Below are 16726 nucleotides of genomic sequence, written 5' to 3'. Positions count from 1 at the left end.
TCAAATAAATGAAACTATACAGTGCAATTGAAATGACTTCACTGAAGAAAGTGGAAAATGAGGTTCCTGAAGTAAGCAACTTTGAAAATGAGGTGGTTCTCTAAGTTTAAATTGTAAAGAAATCACACATAAGCACTCTATCTAGTAGATAAACATGTTTCCTACAAGGGTACAGCATTACATTTCTGAAACCGCTATGCATGTGTCCTGAAATCGTGCAACTAAGTAATCAAATGGCATATGGTTGGATGGGATTCCTCACTTTGTAGTGGATGGTTATGGACAGTCAAGAAAGGAAGGTTAGAAAGGTCCATGTGGCAGCATAGTTGGGTGGAGAGACCAGTGTGTGCTCATTTTTAATGTAATCAAGTTACAGAAGATTAGATACATAATTTCAATGGGTCCATAAACATGATTCATATAAACATGCTCATTTACTAGAACAGAAGGTTGAGAGGTCCCAGAAGTACTTATACCACATTAACAACACACATACCCATTATCACAATATTTTATTTTAACACTATTCTTTAAAATCAGAAACAAGCAATCTTTATATAAATGGCTAATTCTATGTATGAAAAAGGTGATAAAGAAACAAGCTTAGAATCTATTTTAATATCAGGAAACAGGGAAGTGTTCAAAAACAAAAGGATCAGCTTTGCTGTAAGGATGCAGGATCCAAACTAAATGAGCTCCCAGCACCTAATAAAGCTGTGGAGATTTGAACAAGAAAATGAATAATGTAGCATGGATCTTCTTCAGAGTATGAAACAGACATCCATAAACCAATATGGATGTTAATAGATGATTAAACAAAGAAACGATGGGAAGAAGAACACGTCTTCTTATAGAAGTATTCCAAATATCTCAGGCAGATATTCCTCCAATCAATAGGTGAAGGCTAAACACTCATGAGTTGATTGTGTCCTGAGATTAGAGACATGGAATAAATAATCAGTATTAGTGTATTTTATAATGAGACTTCAGATATAATGCCAAATACATGATCTATGAATGAATAATTTTTTATGTTTTTTGTCTAAATTTGTGCACACACACACACACACACACACATATTTTTTGAAATACCCACTGATAAGAGAGAAAAAGGCAACCACAGACTGGGAGAAAATACTTCCAAGTCATATATTTGTTAAATCAATTCTTTCAATTTGTTAAATGACTTTTATAATCAATATGCAAGTAAACTTACAACTAATGAAAAGAAAACAATGGAGATAAAAATGAACCAAATATCAGGAAAGGCATCTCAGCAAAAATTATATAAAAATTGTTTAATATAAATTTTTTTATTTGGGACATGTGCATTTAAATAAATATTAGATGCCATTACTCACCTATCAGCATGGCTAAAACTCACAATACTCATGATGATAAATGGTAACATGAATGTGGAAAAACAAGAAATGTCATGCATTGATGGTGGGAATTCAAAACGTTACATGCACAAAATGAGATTTTTTGGCATTTTTTAAATAGAGATAAAAGTAGAGTTAAAATGTGAACTTGTGCTTGTGTTCCGAAGTATTTACAACGTTGATTCAGAAATTGATGTTTACAAAGATTGATTCAGAGGAAGTTCTGTATCAGATTTGTTAATGTGATTCATTCTACAATCCCTGAAATTTGCTTGCAGAATAAATGTTGTATGAAAAATATCTCAAATAACTAAAATCCTGTCCACTCAAGCCCTTGTCCAGGGGCCCATCGCACCAAGTGCAAGTAGCAGTAGGTGAAGGTGTATCCAGAAGCCTGGCAGGAGACCTTCACTGAGGCCCCAGGCTTCTTCACCTCAGCCCCAGACTGCACCAGCTGCACCAGGAAGTGGGCACCTGTGGGGAGGACACAGGATGGATGAAAGCCCCCTTGACTGGACTCAATCCCCTCCTCATTACTGGGACCTGGGAACCCCTTACCTGTGGCTGCTGCCACCAAGAAGAGGATCTTGCAGGTCCAGCCCATGGTGAGATGTGCTCTCAGGGGATTCTCTCAGGGCACAGAACATATTTACCTCAGTGGATATCAGTATATTTGCATATTCATAAGACAAAGCCTTTCTTAACTCAAAGCCCAATCCGTGATAAGAAAGGGAAGATAAATGACACATCAGCCTTACAAGAGTGAGATGAAGATGGTCGAAGTCCTAATCCTGCTTGAGGAAATGCATGCCCTGCTCCATTTACAAACATTTGTGGACAGACATCCTTTCACTGAAGAATAAGCCCATATAGAACAGGCTCCTCACTGTAAGCCTATATTTGATTAGCATAGAGACCACCTGGATCATTTTTGGAACCATCACTCTCCATCACACTGAGCAGGTGCCTTGGTCTTTTCCTGGACCCATCAGGCACCAGCACAGCTCATTGCTGACTCTGAGAAAGTGACGCTTATGTCCCACATGAGTGTCCAGGAGGGACCTCTGAGATCTACTGGGTGCTCCTGAGACACTGTCTCCAGCACCTGACTCATGTCCTGATCCCCCAGGATCTTCAATTCTATTGAACACTGTTGGTTTACAGATTTGCCCTGTGATGCATAATTAGAGCTGATTTTCTCATCTCACAGAAATGGGAATCAGAAGAAGATAAAGCAGGAGTTTGGAGTCCATTATGAACTCTCTACTCCCAAAGTAATTGTCAAGGAATTTGTGTTTAGAACAATTTTGGGTTATTTTTGAACTCCATTTATTAGTATTTTGTCAAGTATTTACATACTTTCAGTTCATATCCACAGACCCTCACCTTTCCATATTGATTTCTGACTCACTTGGTCTGTGCACCTGCCACACTCTCAGATCCACTACTGCCCTGTCACTCACACAATGTAAGCAACATTACTTAACACTGAAATCTGAATTTCTTATTCATAGGAATGAAGTTTCTTCAACTAATCTGTACCCATAGAATTAGTAAAAACATGCCCATCCTTCATATTCTCACTACTAAGATATTATAGTTCTAGAAACCCACTTCAAAAAATAGTTCTCAGTGCCTTAAGTTATATGAATGGTTTTGATGTGATAGAATACCTAAAGCACGTCAGCGACTTTTTGAACAGTTATTTTAGATTGTTTTTTCCTGACAAAGGAAAACCCAGGCCCTGAGAGGAAACTTCCTCCCCAGCTGTGCACCTGCTCCAGGGCTGGAACCTGTGCTTGGTGGCTCCCAAGTGCCCCCTTTCACCCAGGCTCTTGCCTTGCAATGAGGTTTCTGTCGGGGCTCACAGATATTTTCCTTCAGAGTCTCTAGCCCAGCATGAAGTGGCTGTGTCCTGGTTTAGAATTCTCTGCCAGTGACACCATATGCTGCCGACACCATGTCTTTTAACAATTGATTAGCCTCACTAAACCTACTGAGGGATACCCACAGAAAAGATTCTATGACTCAGAAGGGAGTCCCTTTTCTGAAGCTTCACATTTCCTGAATCAGTGGACACCTAATGAATACAAAAACTTGTAGGATTTGGGGAATGCCTAGTTTCTTCGTTGGGCTCCTGCAGTTGAATGTTGCATCTGAGAATATCTGCAGGTACAGATACATTCAGAATAAAGACACCTTTGTATATGCTATTCCAATAACACATATTCTCCTTTCTTACTATTTTCTAGCCTATAAAAGCGCCTCATACACAGACACTAGGCCTAGGTTTATGGCTTTTTTCTCTTAGCGATCTAAGGCAAACAGAATACAAGTGGAGACTTGGGAAGTGCATGAATATTTTTTCTCAGCTAGGAACCCTGAAAATGCCCCATGATAAAAGAATCTGAGGTCAATGGATTTGCCAAGACCTTTTCTTCAAAAAATTTATGTCAGAGGCTTCAGATTTTCCTACTGTCCTTGTCTTTTTCTCTGCCATTGTCTTTCAGTTTCCCTATGTTCTCCTCCTCAGATAGAGTCTGTGCACTGCCACACTTTCATCTTTAACCCAGATTATACTGGTGAGAAAACAAAGTGTGCATCCTGGAAGTATTATATGTTCTTACAATTGATTCTTAATAATTCAATCATCCTTTTTTTCTCTGGGCTGTGACCTATATTCAGAGTCTCCAGAAATGAAACTGATGCTTTCCCTTTTCTGGCTGTAATATTATAGGATTATTTCAGTATCGGCTAATTTTATCCACTTTCATGATAAAGGAAGGCTGCTGGGAGGGTCTGTAATGGAGATGGACTACCTTACCCAATACAGATAAGGTTCTAGATATGTCTTTCCCCTGGATGGTCTATCTGGAGAAATGTACGTGTGTATTTCTCAGAGATTAGGTCTTTGGATGATTTATCCAGGAAAGGATCTATGTCGATTTTCACTCGAAGAACCTGGAGGTTCCTGGAGCAAATAAGCACAAGAGTGTGAGGTGTGCGGCCTCTAAGATCTCTCACCCTCACACTAGTTCAGACATGCCCTTTATGTTTACATAGTTCAGATTTACATATAACATACCACACAGCCAGGCTCATCTAAATTGCCACATGCTCATTTAAACTCATCGGAGCAGCAGCTGAGTGTAATCATCACATTGAACTCAGAGAAACCTGGGTCCAATACACTGTTTATTGTAGCTCAGAGAAGCATCACTGAGTCCCTTGAGTGGACATTTCTTCCCTGAAAGAGCTTCACTACCAAGTATACTAAAGAGTTGCTATGGAGCCACTGTGGGGTTGGATTTCTTTCTGTCAGCCTGTCATGCAGGGTGTTTTGAGTGATGCAGACCTTTATACTTAGATGCTAATCATTCCCAGTATTGTTGAAATGGCTGGCCACCCCCAGTCCTGTTTCTCCCCTCCACTCACCTGAATGTCTCCAAAAACCCCATGAACCTAAGGATTCTCTTTTCCATGGATGACTCTGAGGATTCTCAATCTGGTCAGTGCCACAGTCAGAGGCAGCTAATGCAGGATTCTCAGTCCGCTAATAAGTTGAGCCCATAATATAGGATACATATCCAAGAGTGGCCAATTCATGTCAGTGCCAATCCACATTTAATTCAAGGGGCATGATTTTCAGTGCATTGAAGTTTAAAAGCTTCATCATTCTTAATAGAGGCACAAACTGAATGGTTTGCTGAAGAAGTGAGTTCATGGTTAGAAGAAAGCTGACTGCACCCAGGCAGAGTCTCTTTAAGTAAAACGCCTGAAATGTGATGTCCTGAAACCTTGTGAAAATTCATTTCCTTGAGTAAAAAAACAGGAAAGCTATTCTCAAATCATTGGGAGAAAACTTATCAGAAATTTTATGAACACACCAGTCGAATTCCAGTAAGTCAATCCTTGGGTTTATGTTTCACAACTCAAGAAGCAATAAAGAAATCTACATAATTGGAAGGCTGCTCCAACAGAGAGAATTTTGAACTATTTAATTAATAGACCAGTATCCATTCCTATGGAATCTGCAACTTAAACAGATCTCTGCAACCTGGAAAAATTTTCTCACTTATTTTTCTCTAGACATCCATAAATGCAAAAACACATTTTGTGTGTATATGCATGAGTGATCTATAGAAATACTTTGCATATTAATGAAAGTTTGGAAAAATGATAACTTCATCACTTATTGTGAACTCATACTTCACTGGTTTCCAAAATTCTCCACCTGTGTCATGGGGCAATGGGTGCCTCTGAGAATATGCTGATTTTCAGACTGAACATGTTCTCCACTCCTCACTTGAATTCATGGTTTCTCACTCACACTGATGTCTCTGTGAATGAAAACCCAACACTGATATCCAGCAGATTTTCCTCTTACAAGATTCATATTCTCTCTATCTCTTTCTTTCTCTGCATGTCTCTAACTCCCTATTTTTCTGTGCCATTACTATTTATTACTGAATCATCCTGAATCCTGCCAACAGACTCCATCTCACATTCTGCAAATATTCTGCCTTAAAGATAATTAGGGGCAAACTCATCCTTGCCCAAGGTGGGAAAACTTTCTGGACTTCCACTAGGTTTATTAGAGCCTCATATGAGAACCATGATCAAACACTATGTGTTTTTGGATTATACCTCAAATCTAAAACTGTTCTTCATAGTGGCTATGACATTCTACATTCCCATCATTACCATTATGCAAAACAGTGTGGTGGCTTCTAAATAAATTAAAACAGACATACCATATGACCAGCGATCCAGCTTATGGAAATATACCCAAATGGGATGAAATTACCACCTTGTGAAGATACCTGCTCTCCTGTGATTATTGTAGCATTATTCACAACAGCCAAGATATGGAAACTAAGTGTCTGTCGATGGACAAATGGATAAAGACAATGTGGTATGTGTATACAATATAACATGATTCTGCCTTATAAAATAAAGAGATGCTGCCATTTTCCACAAGATGAATGGATTCCCACCACCACTAGCAATGCATTTTACCCATTTCAGCCCCTCCCTGGGAGCCGGCAGATCCAGGCCCAGTAGTAAGGACTGGTTGTGATGGAGTGGCCAGAAACAGTGCAGGTGATGCAGAGGGGCAGTGCAGGCTCTTCAGGTCCAGGGCTGACTCCTGCAGCTGCTCCTGGGACAGGGCATGTGAGTACATGGGGAATCAGTCCCTGTCAGTCACATGTACCTACACTCACCCCATAGACCCACATCTGAGACACTCACCCTGGGGGAGCCGTCACCAGGCACAGGAGAAGACAGACATAATGCCATCTTCTTCGTGAACACAACTCTGCATTCCCCAGATACCTTAGCCCTGCCTGAGGGGAGAGCTGTTAGCTTCCACAGTCCAAAAGCATTTTATACCCTGGAGCCTAAAGGATAGTTTGGATGTGGCAAGGCCTTGTACTTATACGAGAGAAGGACATAGGTCTGACTCCCTGTGGGTTTGAATATGTTTTATTGTTGTCTGTCTGTTTTCAGGTTGACATGAAGCACTTCCTTGCCAAAAACTACAGTCATGACATTTAATAAAATTTGCTTTATTCCTATTTTCCCACCTGTGACATTTGACCTTCTGTATCGAGTGAGCAATGTGCATACCTTACAGGAGAAATTACAAAATAATTCTCTAAGTCATCAGTATCACACGAATGCTACCCTGTCCTTACTGCCAAATATCTTCTGGAAAAATTTAAGTAAAAATAAATGACAAGTTGCATTCTTAAATTGAAAGTAGCATAACATTCAGAAACTCATGAAATCCTTTTGCCAAAGGTACTCCCACTAGAACTTAACAGCCCATGGTCTGCTTCCTCAAGGGCAAAGACAATATCACCCTATGACTTGATTCATCAAAAGCCCATGTATTTTCCATTTTACCTTCAGCATTATACTCTGATTTATCACATGCCAATACAGCGAAGTATTTTAGGGGATCGATGTGCTATGCAGAAATATTCAACAGGATGTTAAAAATGTCCTAAATAGCTTCTTTACTGCCATCAACTTGTAAATTATTTATTTTCCAAGAGACATCGGAGAAAAACAGTCACAAACATTGTAAAAGGGGCTAATTACAATTAACAACAAATGCAGCAGTGACTCCAGGATGTCAATCCATAGGTTTATTAGTGAAAATGAGGTGGGTTACATAAATTGTTTTGAGAGTATTTTCCTTGCTTGTAGAGTCAATACCAAGGTTGGCATCAATATAGGGTTAAACAGTGATTTGCTGGGAAGATGTCCTTGTAGATGTGATTTTTATAAGGTCATGGTGGCTTCTATCAAAGGTTGTGGTTAAGCAGAATCCATTCATGGTCGTTCTTGTTATCAGGAGTATGTGCATGGGAAACCTCCTTCATGGTCATTCCTAGTTCCTTTTGTCAGGGTTTTAACACAAGTGGATCTATTTTGATTCTGACAACTTTCACACCCTCTTTCTAACACTACTGGTGAGGAAGGTGACTCACTCTGTGGTACTTTGCACAGCACAGGATAAATTTCACATCCACATCCCATTTTGACCACACAAGCTCATCCTCTTCACTACTGTTGGCCACTTGCATTCCCAGGTGAGTCTCCACATGACACACTGGAGGGTGCTGAGCAATGGGAGAGAGAAAAGTCCTATCAGCCTCTCCCACATGGCTGCAGGAGCCACAGCCTGAGCCCCACCTCAGCTGCAGGGAATGGGCTTGAGACCTCGAGCTTTGGCAGCAAGAACCACATCCCCACTTTACAGGAAGCACGAACAGCACAAGGAAGAGCAAGAACAACAACAACAAATAAAAAGAAATAGAGTGGGCTAAGAGCAAAAGGGGCCCCAGATCAGTGCTGATACTAAGTTGCATACTTTAGTGTCAGGAGAAGGGTCAGGAATGAAAACTGTGAGGTTCTACACGACACTGACCCTGGCCCAGACTCTATTGGCTGTGATCACAATTCCTAAAGACCGTCCTAGTCAGGGAATCTCACTGAGGTTTCTGTCCTGAGTCTGACTGGAGAAGACTCACCAGGTATCCCTGAGTTTCCTCAATACTCTGATCCTGGTGACAATGGTTGAGGGCTTTTCATCTCTGTAAGCATCAATCTGTGTTTTGTGCATAGGAGAATAGGTTTTCATATTAAAATAATCATTTTAAAAATATGTAGAGATGACATTGGTAAGCACAGAATTCTGAACTTAGAGAGATTCCCTAGAGAAACTCTAAAAAGATGAAGTCCCACATCCTGACAGGAAACCAGCCTCCATCTGCAACTTGCCTCTGGCGATGACTCTGATCAGTGGGTCCTGTGTGCCCCCCGCAGCTGATTTCCCCCAAGCATTCTGCAGAGAGGTTTGTGTCTGGGCTCACACTGACTTCCCCTCACTGTGTCTCTTGCACAGTAATACACAGCCATGTCCTCGGCTCTCAGGCTGTTCATTTGAAGATACAAGGAGTTCTTGGCATTGTCTCTGGAGATGGTGAATCGGCCCTTCACGGAGTCTGCATAGTATGTGCCACCACCAGTACCAATAGCTGATACCCACTCCAGACCTTTTCCTGGAGCCTGGCGAACCCAGTGCATAGCATAGCTACTGAAGGTGAATCCAGAGCCTGCACAGGAGAGTCTCAGGGACCCCCCAGGATGTACCAAGCCTCCCCCAGACTGCACCAGCTGAACCTCACACTGGACACCTGCAAACAGAGAGACACAAAGGTCAGAAATTGCCACACATCACATACCCACTGTTTCTCTCATTCATGCCCATTCACACTCAATATCTCTAGTTCTCCATGAATCACCTTTTAATATAGCAACAAGGAAAACCCAGCTCAGCACAAACTCCATGGTGATTCCTGTGTGTTCAGTCCTGATCACTGAATGGAAACACCTGGGAATCCCAAGGCTGGGGCTCCACTCCCAGAGCTGCAGGGTCAGGGCTGGGCTGGTTTTCATCAGGAGAGGGAGGGCTCTATTTGCATGTCACCTACTATATAGCAAGCTATGGGGTGGGACTCCTGAGGAGAGGGCAGGGCCCAGAGTAGATGAGAGCGTCCTGGGGGATTTTGATGACAATGATTGTGTTTGGGAAAATGCTGTCTTAATGTGAAATTGTTGTGCGATAAACATTTAACAACTATCATATTTTTAATTATTTTTACCTATGTGTATAAATGATGTTATTTAGCACTCAGTGGTTTCTTCGTTTACAGATGTAAAAGTGAACCCACACATGGAGGGGCTATGTATGTGTCTAAGGGCTTATATCTGGCATGAGTGAGTCCTAGTACCTGGGCCTATGCTCCTCACAGCTGGCCTCAATTGCTCTCTTAACCAACTATTGGACAGAGCTAAATGGGCCTAGTGTGGTTTGCAGAATCCACTTCCTGCCACGAGAACCTGTGTGATTTTGCTGCATTTACCTAAAAATACGGAAACATCTAGGCATCAGGCAGATAAATTTTTGGTGTATCTGATATTTAATGTATTCATTTGTTCCTTCTTATCATCCCTTTTTTGTCTAAAATTTCACTTGTTTACTTGTAATACATTTTATGAGTTTTAATTGACAGATGATAAAATTCACATATTTAACCTGCATAATAGTAAACTTTGATAAAGAAAATCTCTATTTTCAAGAAGGTGACAAGTCAACTCACCTCAGAATTCCTCTTGCTCTTTTACAGACATAATTTTGTTTTTCTCCTCTTTTCTTCTACCATTTCTTTATAAAAGTACTGATGTTTTCATATTTCTTTAGACTAGTTTTTATTCTCTAGAATTTATAAGAATGAAACAATATAGTATGTACTCTTATCTATTTGGCTTATTTTTCTCAGTAGAAATACCGAGAATTAAACCTTTTATGTTGTATTGTTTATTTTTTAATAAATAATAGGTAGCATTTCAGCAAACAAATGTAGCATAATTTGTTTTTCTAAGTTGCTAATTGGTATTCAAACTTTTCATTACTTTGGGTCTTACTAATAAATCTGCTACTCAATTTGGTAATGTACATAGATGATAAATTATATATAAAATATATTATTTTTGCAACAACAATAACACGTAAACAAGAGAATGTGCTATTTGGCAAATTTTCTTTAGCATGTCAAATAATTGAAGTTATGAAACAAAAAACAAACCTGTAAATCAAAGAGTATCTGAGACTAATCTCAATAGATTTAGGAAGTTCATTTTCCAAGATTAAGGACATGCCTGTGACACCGCCTCAGGGAGTCCTGATGATGTGTGCCCAAGCTTGTGGGCACAGCTTGGTTTTATACAATTTAGGGAGGCATGAGACATTAATCAATATATGTATATAAGATGTACATTGATTTAGTTCAGAAAGGCAGGACAACTTGAAGTGGGGAGAGGGCTTCTAGATCATAGGTAGGTTTGAGAGAAATGGTTGCATTATTTGAGTTTCTGATTAGCCTTTAACTGAATGCACAATTTACAGGAATAGTCACGTAGGCCTTAATCTGGCTTAGTGAAATAATAGAGCAAAGGGAGCAATCAGATATGCATTTGACTTACATGAGCAGAGAAATGACTCTGTCTGTCTTTGGCCCACAAGGATTTTACTTGTGGTCAAATTTTGAAGGAGGTCTGTAGCTTTTAAAAACCGTAGTAGCTATCATTTTAGTGAAATAATGGAGGTGGATTTACCCCAAACAGTTTTCAGCTTGACTTCCCTTGGGCTTAGTGATTTGGTGGTCCCAAAGGTTTATTTTCCTTTCAGGAACGTGGAAATCTTGAAAGAAATGAGTTCTTGTAGAGAGAAATGAAGCCATAGTGTTAGCTAAACTGAGGCCGAGGCTGCCACATGAAATATAGCCTATTACAAGACAAAGCTACAGGCCGGGCGCGGTGGCTCACGCCTGTAATCCCAGCACTTTGGGAGGCCGAGGCGGGTGGATCATGAGGTCAGGAGATCGAGACCATCCTGGCTAACAAGGTGAAACCCCGTCTCTACCAAAAATACAAAAAATTAGCCGGGCGCGGTGGTGGGCGCCTGTAGTCCCAGCTACTCGGGAGGCTGAGGCAGGAGAATGGCGTGAACCCGGGAAGCGGAGCTTGCAGTGAGCCGAGATTGCGCCACTGCAGTCCGCAGTCCGGCCTGGGCGACAGAGCGAGACTCCGTCTCAAAAAATAAAAAAATAAATAAATAAAACAAGACAAAGCTACAAACGTGTTGGATTGCTTAAATTCCAGTGTGGTAAACGTGTTGTCGTGTAAAATTCTCAGGAACCACATACTGAAGGGCACTGATAAAGTGAATTAAATATGGCCTGAGAAGGACTCCGTAATTCTGTGTTTGAGTCCTTCTGGACAAACTGTAACCTACCTGAATAGGTGGACAAGATTGAAAAGCCAACTTCAGAGCATGAGCCTGTAACAATAGCGGAGTCTTGGCCAATTCCAGCAGCCATACCTCAACCACTCATACACTCTTGAGTGTGCACATTTTGTTTAAATAAGACAAAAACAACCTGTAACCAATCCAGCTGTTTCTGTACCTCACTTCTGATTTCTGTACATCATTTTTCTAATCTATAAACCTTCTTCCACCATGTGACTGCACTGAAGTCTCTTTGAATCTGCTGCGATTCTGGGGGCTGCCCAATTCATGAATCATCCATTGCTCAATTAATCTCATTAACCTTAATTTGGCTGAAGGTTTTCTATTATCCGCATTCCTATGCAATTGAATCCCTTTGTTCTAGAATGAGGACACTCAGAAAAATCTTCCTTTCCCAAAGTGTCTGTCTGAGACAGAAGGAGAGCCCATACTACCGAAATGCGTTCAGACCCACCTCCCTCATCAGCACTACAGAATAAAGGGATTACCTACCATACAGGGGCAAGCCACTGAAACCATGATTCCAGAGGCACTGGTGGAGCCCCAGAGGAAATGGGATAAAAACCAAGGTTCTCACCAAAGTTCCATCGAAATGTACCTCCTCTCTGTCATGGAATCAAATCCTTAATCTCCAGGGCATCGCAGAAGATCTAGAAGACGATGATAATAGTGGAGACTATTGGAGGTGTGGGAGGGAACACCTGGGAAAAACAGGAGAAAATATATGTATTTAACTCAGTAGACTTCAAGCTACTTACATGTTAATTAACTGGAATATTTCATAGCTAAATACCTGATCTAGCATGAGAAATAATAGACATGACACATGGAGAATGCAACAGTGGGAAGCTGAGGTTCAAGTTCTGATGTTTGTTTACTGATATTTGTCCGCTGGCATGTCCAGAACTTCATGAGTACAGAACTCCTCTAATAGTGAAACAAACACTCACAGGACATGCATTTTTGTTTGAAATAAGTGTAATTCAGATGCTGGTAAAATTTTCTCCTCAGACTCCTTTGCACCAGCTCAGGGCTGACGTCTGTGTTGAGTGGGTTCTGGGCCTGCCCTGCAGCTCTGCCCTCACCCTGCTGGGGAGGATGCTGTTTGGGCTCACAGAGCATATTCTCCCAATGTTGCTCTCCCAGAATGAAAGGGCTGTCCCCTGGTTCACAATCCTCTTTCAGCAGCATCTGATGCTTTTGAAATTGTCTCTTGAAACAGTGATTTGTCATTACTATACCCAGTAAACTGCAGGGAGAGCCCAAGCACAGATTCATGAAACCACCAGAGAGTCACTTCCCTGGGACTGTCAGATGCAATGACACAGTCAAGATCCATGGTGAGTCCAGAAACTTTCAGATAATTCATAGGAGCCTCTTATTTCTCTTACAATTCTCTATTCAAAGTTCATGCCAAAAAGTATCTTCACAGAGAGAACTACATGGCTTAAAGCCCACAGAAATGAAAACATGCATGTACACACACATATACACCAACCACCCCCCCCCCACACACACACGCAGAGTGGTATGGCTGATTTTTACAGTAATTGGCTCCTAATTTGGGATCTTTCCTAGTGTAAACCAAAGGTTTCTGAGACAGATCTCAATCAAATTAAAATTAATTTTCTCAAAGTTAGGACAGCCTGGAAGAAAAATAAAAGTAACCACAGAAACTGTGTGTGGTTAGTGCCATTCCTTAAAGACGATTTTTAGGGCTTTCAATATACACAGAGGAAAAGCTGGGTAGAGGGGAAGTTTGGATGGTAAGAAAATTTACATGTGTAATGAAAAAGAAGCACATAGGGAAATATAAAATTACGTAGTTCTCCTGCAGTAAGTCAGCACTTTCCCATGCTGTTCTCATGATAGTGAATAAGTCCCATTAGATCTGATAGTTTTATCAAGGGGAGTTCCCCTGCACAAACTCTCTCTTGTCTGCCACCATGTAAGATGTCCCTTGCTTTCCTGACATGATTGTGAAGCATCCCCAGCCATGTGGAACCATAAGTCCATTAAACCTCATTCCTTTACAAATTACCCAGGCTTGGTTATGTTTTTATTAGTAGCAGGAGAACAGACTAATATATTTATTTTGCCAAAGTTAAGAACCCACCCATGGCAAGCCTCAGGAAGTCCTGAGACATGTGCCCAAGGTGATAGAAGTACAGCTTGCTTTTATACATTTTAGAGAGACATGAGACATCAATCAATATATGTAAAATGTACATTTTTTTTTCCTTCAAGACAGGACAAATTGAGAGGGGGTTTTGCAGTTTAGAAGTAGATAAGACACAGTAGATTGCATTGTTTTAAGTCCTTTATCAGCCTACCACTGAATCCACAATTTAGTCAGACTTAGTGAATCTTCATTTTTTCATAAGTGATACTGAAGAGGAAGCAATCAGATATGTATCTGTCTCATGTGGGCCTCAGAGGAATGACTTTGAATAGAAAGGGAGGCAGGTTTGCCCAAAGCCCTTTCCAGTAAAACACCCTTGTTTTCTGGAATATCACCGAAGGTTCTTTGTGTCGTGGCTATGAAAATCAAGGACACAGACACACAAAAGGTGAGGTTGGAGCAGAAATTTCATATGTAAAAGGAAAAAAAAAAAGCTCTCTGTCACAGAAAGGGGTCCCAAATGGGTTGCTGTGCTGCAGTAAAATGTAAGGATTTTTATAAATGTGCTACTGGGGAGAGGGTATCTTATCAACATAGGATGCAAAAACAGGACCAGGTGTGCCATCTGCATAGAGCGAAGTCTCTGGCAGCCCCATCTCATGCTTTTATTATGCAGGTGGGGACTTAGCTTGGTCTGCTCCACGTTCCTTATCTCCTTCCACCATGCGTGTGCTGAAAAAGGAGGGAGGAGTTTCCATGCCAGGTCCCAGGTACCTCCTTGCAGCTGGGGGCATCCCAAACCCCGTACAAGCTAACAGCTTTCCTAGCTCAGTGTGACCCCAGAAAAGGAAAGGAATGTGCTCATTAAGGCCCAGTGTTTTTATTGGGACCCATCCTATGTATGTGAACTTTGGTGATTACAAACAGAAATACCCTCTCTGCCAGAGTTGTTTATCTATATTTTACAGCCCAATCTTTCAGGCTGCTCTTTGTTAGAAGTGATCTCTTTGAACTGTGTCTGATTAGAAAAGAAGTTATTTTTGAGCTGATTCTTGTTAGAAGAAAAGTTTTTGCCAGAGACTCTTTCATCCTAACTATCTACCTAAATAATTTCTTTCTATCTCCTATTACACCAGCTGGACTCTTCTCTTTAGCTTAGTGATTTTGGGGTCTCAAGATTTATTTTCTCTTCACAATAGGCAGGTACAAAAGGAGACTTCATATGTAATTAAGTTGCTTGTATTAGTCCATGTTCAGGTTGCTATAAGGACATACATGAGGCTGGGTAATTTATAAAGAAAAATAGGTTTAATTAACTCACAGTTCTTCATGGCTGGGGAGGCCACAAAAAACTTACAATCATGATGCAAAGGGTAGCAAACACATGCTATTTCACATGACTGCAGGAGAGAGAAGTGTTAAGTGAAGAGGGAAGCCCCTCATAAAATTATCAAATCTTGTGATAACTCACTCACTAACAGGAGAAAAGCAGGAAGAAAACAGCCCGTATGATTCAATTATTTCCACCTCATTCCACCCTTGCAATGTGTGAATTATTACAATAAAAGGTGAGATTTGGGTAGGGACACAGAGCCAAACCATATCATTGATTTTATTTTCTTTAGAATTTACATTGTCTAGCTGTAAGAAAGCACAGCTTAACTTCTGCTGGTTTCAAGTTAGGAAAAATATTTAAAAAGGGAAATAATTGAAAACGTTATTTTGGAGACTTGTGCAAAGATACGCTTTAAAATTCAGTCCAAATTGTAGAAGATAATATAAATTGAAAAGCAAGTGGACAAGGTTAAAATCTATTAACTGATGCACTATAGTTTATTTTGAAATAATATTTCTCTCTATAATTCCCCAATTTTATTCGAGACAAAATCATAGTAGGACCAATTTATTTGTAAAATCAGTTTTAGGCTTATGAGACTTGGCCTGGTTTTTTTGTATAAGAGGCAGCAAAATAATCATTTAACATATTAGCTCTCTTTTTTGTTTTCTATTTTTTGTTTGTACATAGGCAATTTTATTCATAAATTGACTTTGCTAGAAATTTTTTGTAAGGAGTCAAAGGGTAGAGTCTTTAAAATCTTCAAGCCCAGTCAATATTTTATCTGTGCCACCAGATAGCTATGTGAATTGGGTTACTTTCTCTTTTTTCAAGTTTCCAAGAAAACTTGGGAGTCCTGGGTCTGTCAGAAATTAAATTGTTTACTTACTACACTTCAGGGCCCTGTAAAAAAAAAAAAAAAAGGTACATGCCAGTTTTCCCAAGGGGCTTTATCAGCTCTCCAGGTTAGATTCATTTTATAAAGTAAATATGAAAATATATAATTCAAGTTAAAGACTTAGTAAAATGACCATTGTCTCCAATTGTGCCCTGTTATGGAAGAAAGCAGATTTTTATTGAACCTATGCAAATAACTATTTTGATATAAGAATACTCACAGTTTCCAAATTTTGGAGAAATTATGTATATAAGAAGATATTATGTTTTTATTTTTTTCTTAATAAAGTATACCATACTCAATTGTTAACAACTGTGAATAGCTTAAAAGACAAACTTTTCCTGATTCTGAAAAAACAGAACATAAGTAATTAGCAAATGCTTTAAAGAATAAGCCATAAAAATAATTTCAGTCTTCTGTCAATTCAGTTCATGCAATTAAGTCCTGTCCTGCTTAATATTAGATTAACAATCATCATAAATCAATCAGGTATCAATGAGAGTCTTGGAAGTTTTAATCTCTATACCAATGGCACAATTTATAAAATTGTCACAATCGTATATTTAAGAGTACTCCTCAAAATTCTATAGATTATTATAAGCCA

At 39.9% G+C, this 16726-nt stretch overlaps 1 long non-coding RNA gene and 1 gene segment (V, D, J or C); both read right to left on the bottom strand.

Moving 5' to 3' along the window:
- Positions 1-7672: 7672 nt before the first annotated feature.
- On the bottom strand, positions 7673-9280 carry LOC112268316 (immunoglobulin heavy variable 3-23-like). The segment is given in 2 exon segments: positions 7673-9091; positions 9200-9280. Coding segments are annotated over 2 exon segments (444 nt in total).
- Positions 9281-10136: 856 nt separating this feature from the next.
- On the bottom strand, positions 10137-16376 carry LOC105379540 (uncharacterized). Its single transcript, XR_951353.1, has 3 exons — positions 16343-16376; positions 12344-12467; positions 10137-10173 (listed from the first exon to the last, which is right to left on the bottom strand). It is a non-coding gene; the product is annotated as an uncharacterized LOC105379540 (long non-coding RNA).
- Between the last annotated feature and the right edge of the window lie 350 nt (positions 16377-16726).

This window comes from Homo sapiens (genome assembly GCF_000001405.40).
Source record: "Homo sapiens chromosome 16 unlocalized genomic scaffold, GRCh38.p14 Primary Assembly HSCHR16_RANDOM_CTG1".
Classification (NCBI taxonomy): Eukaryota; Metazoa; Chordata; class Mammalia; order Primates; family Hominidae; genus Homo; species Homo sapiens.
This window is presented reverse-complemented; position numbering and strand designations above follow the sequence as displayed.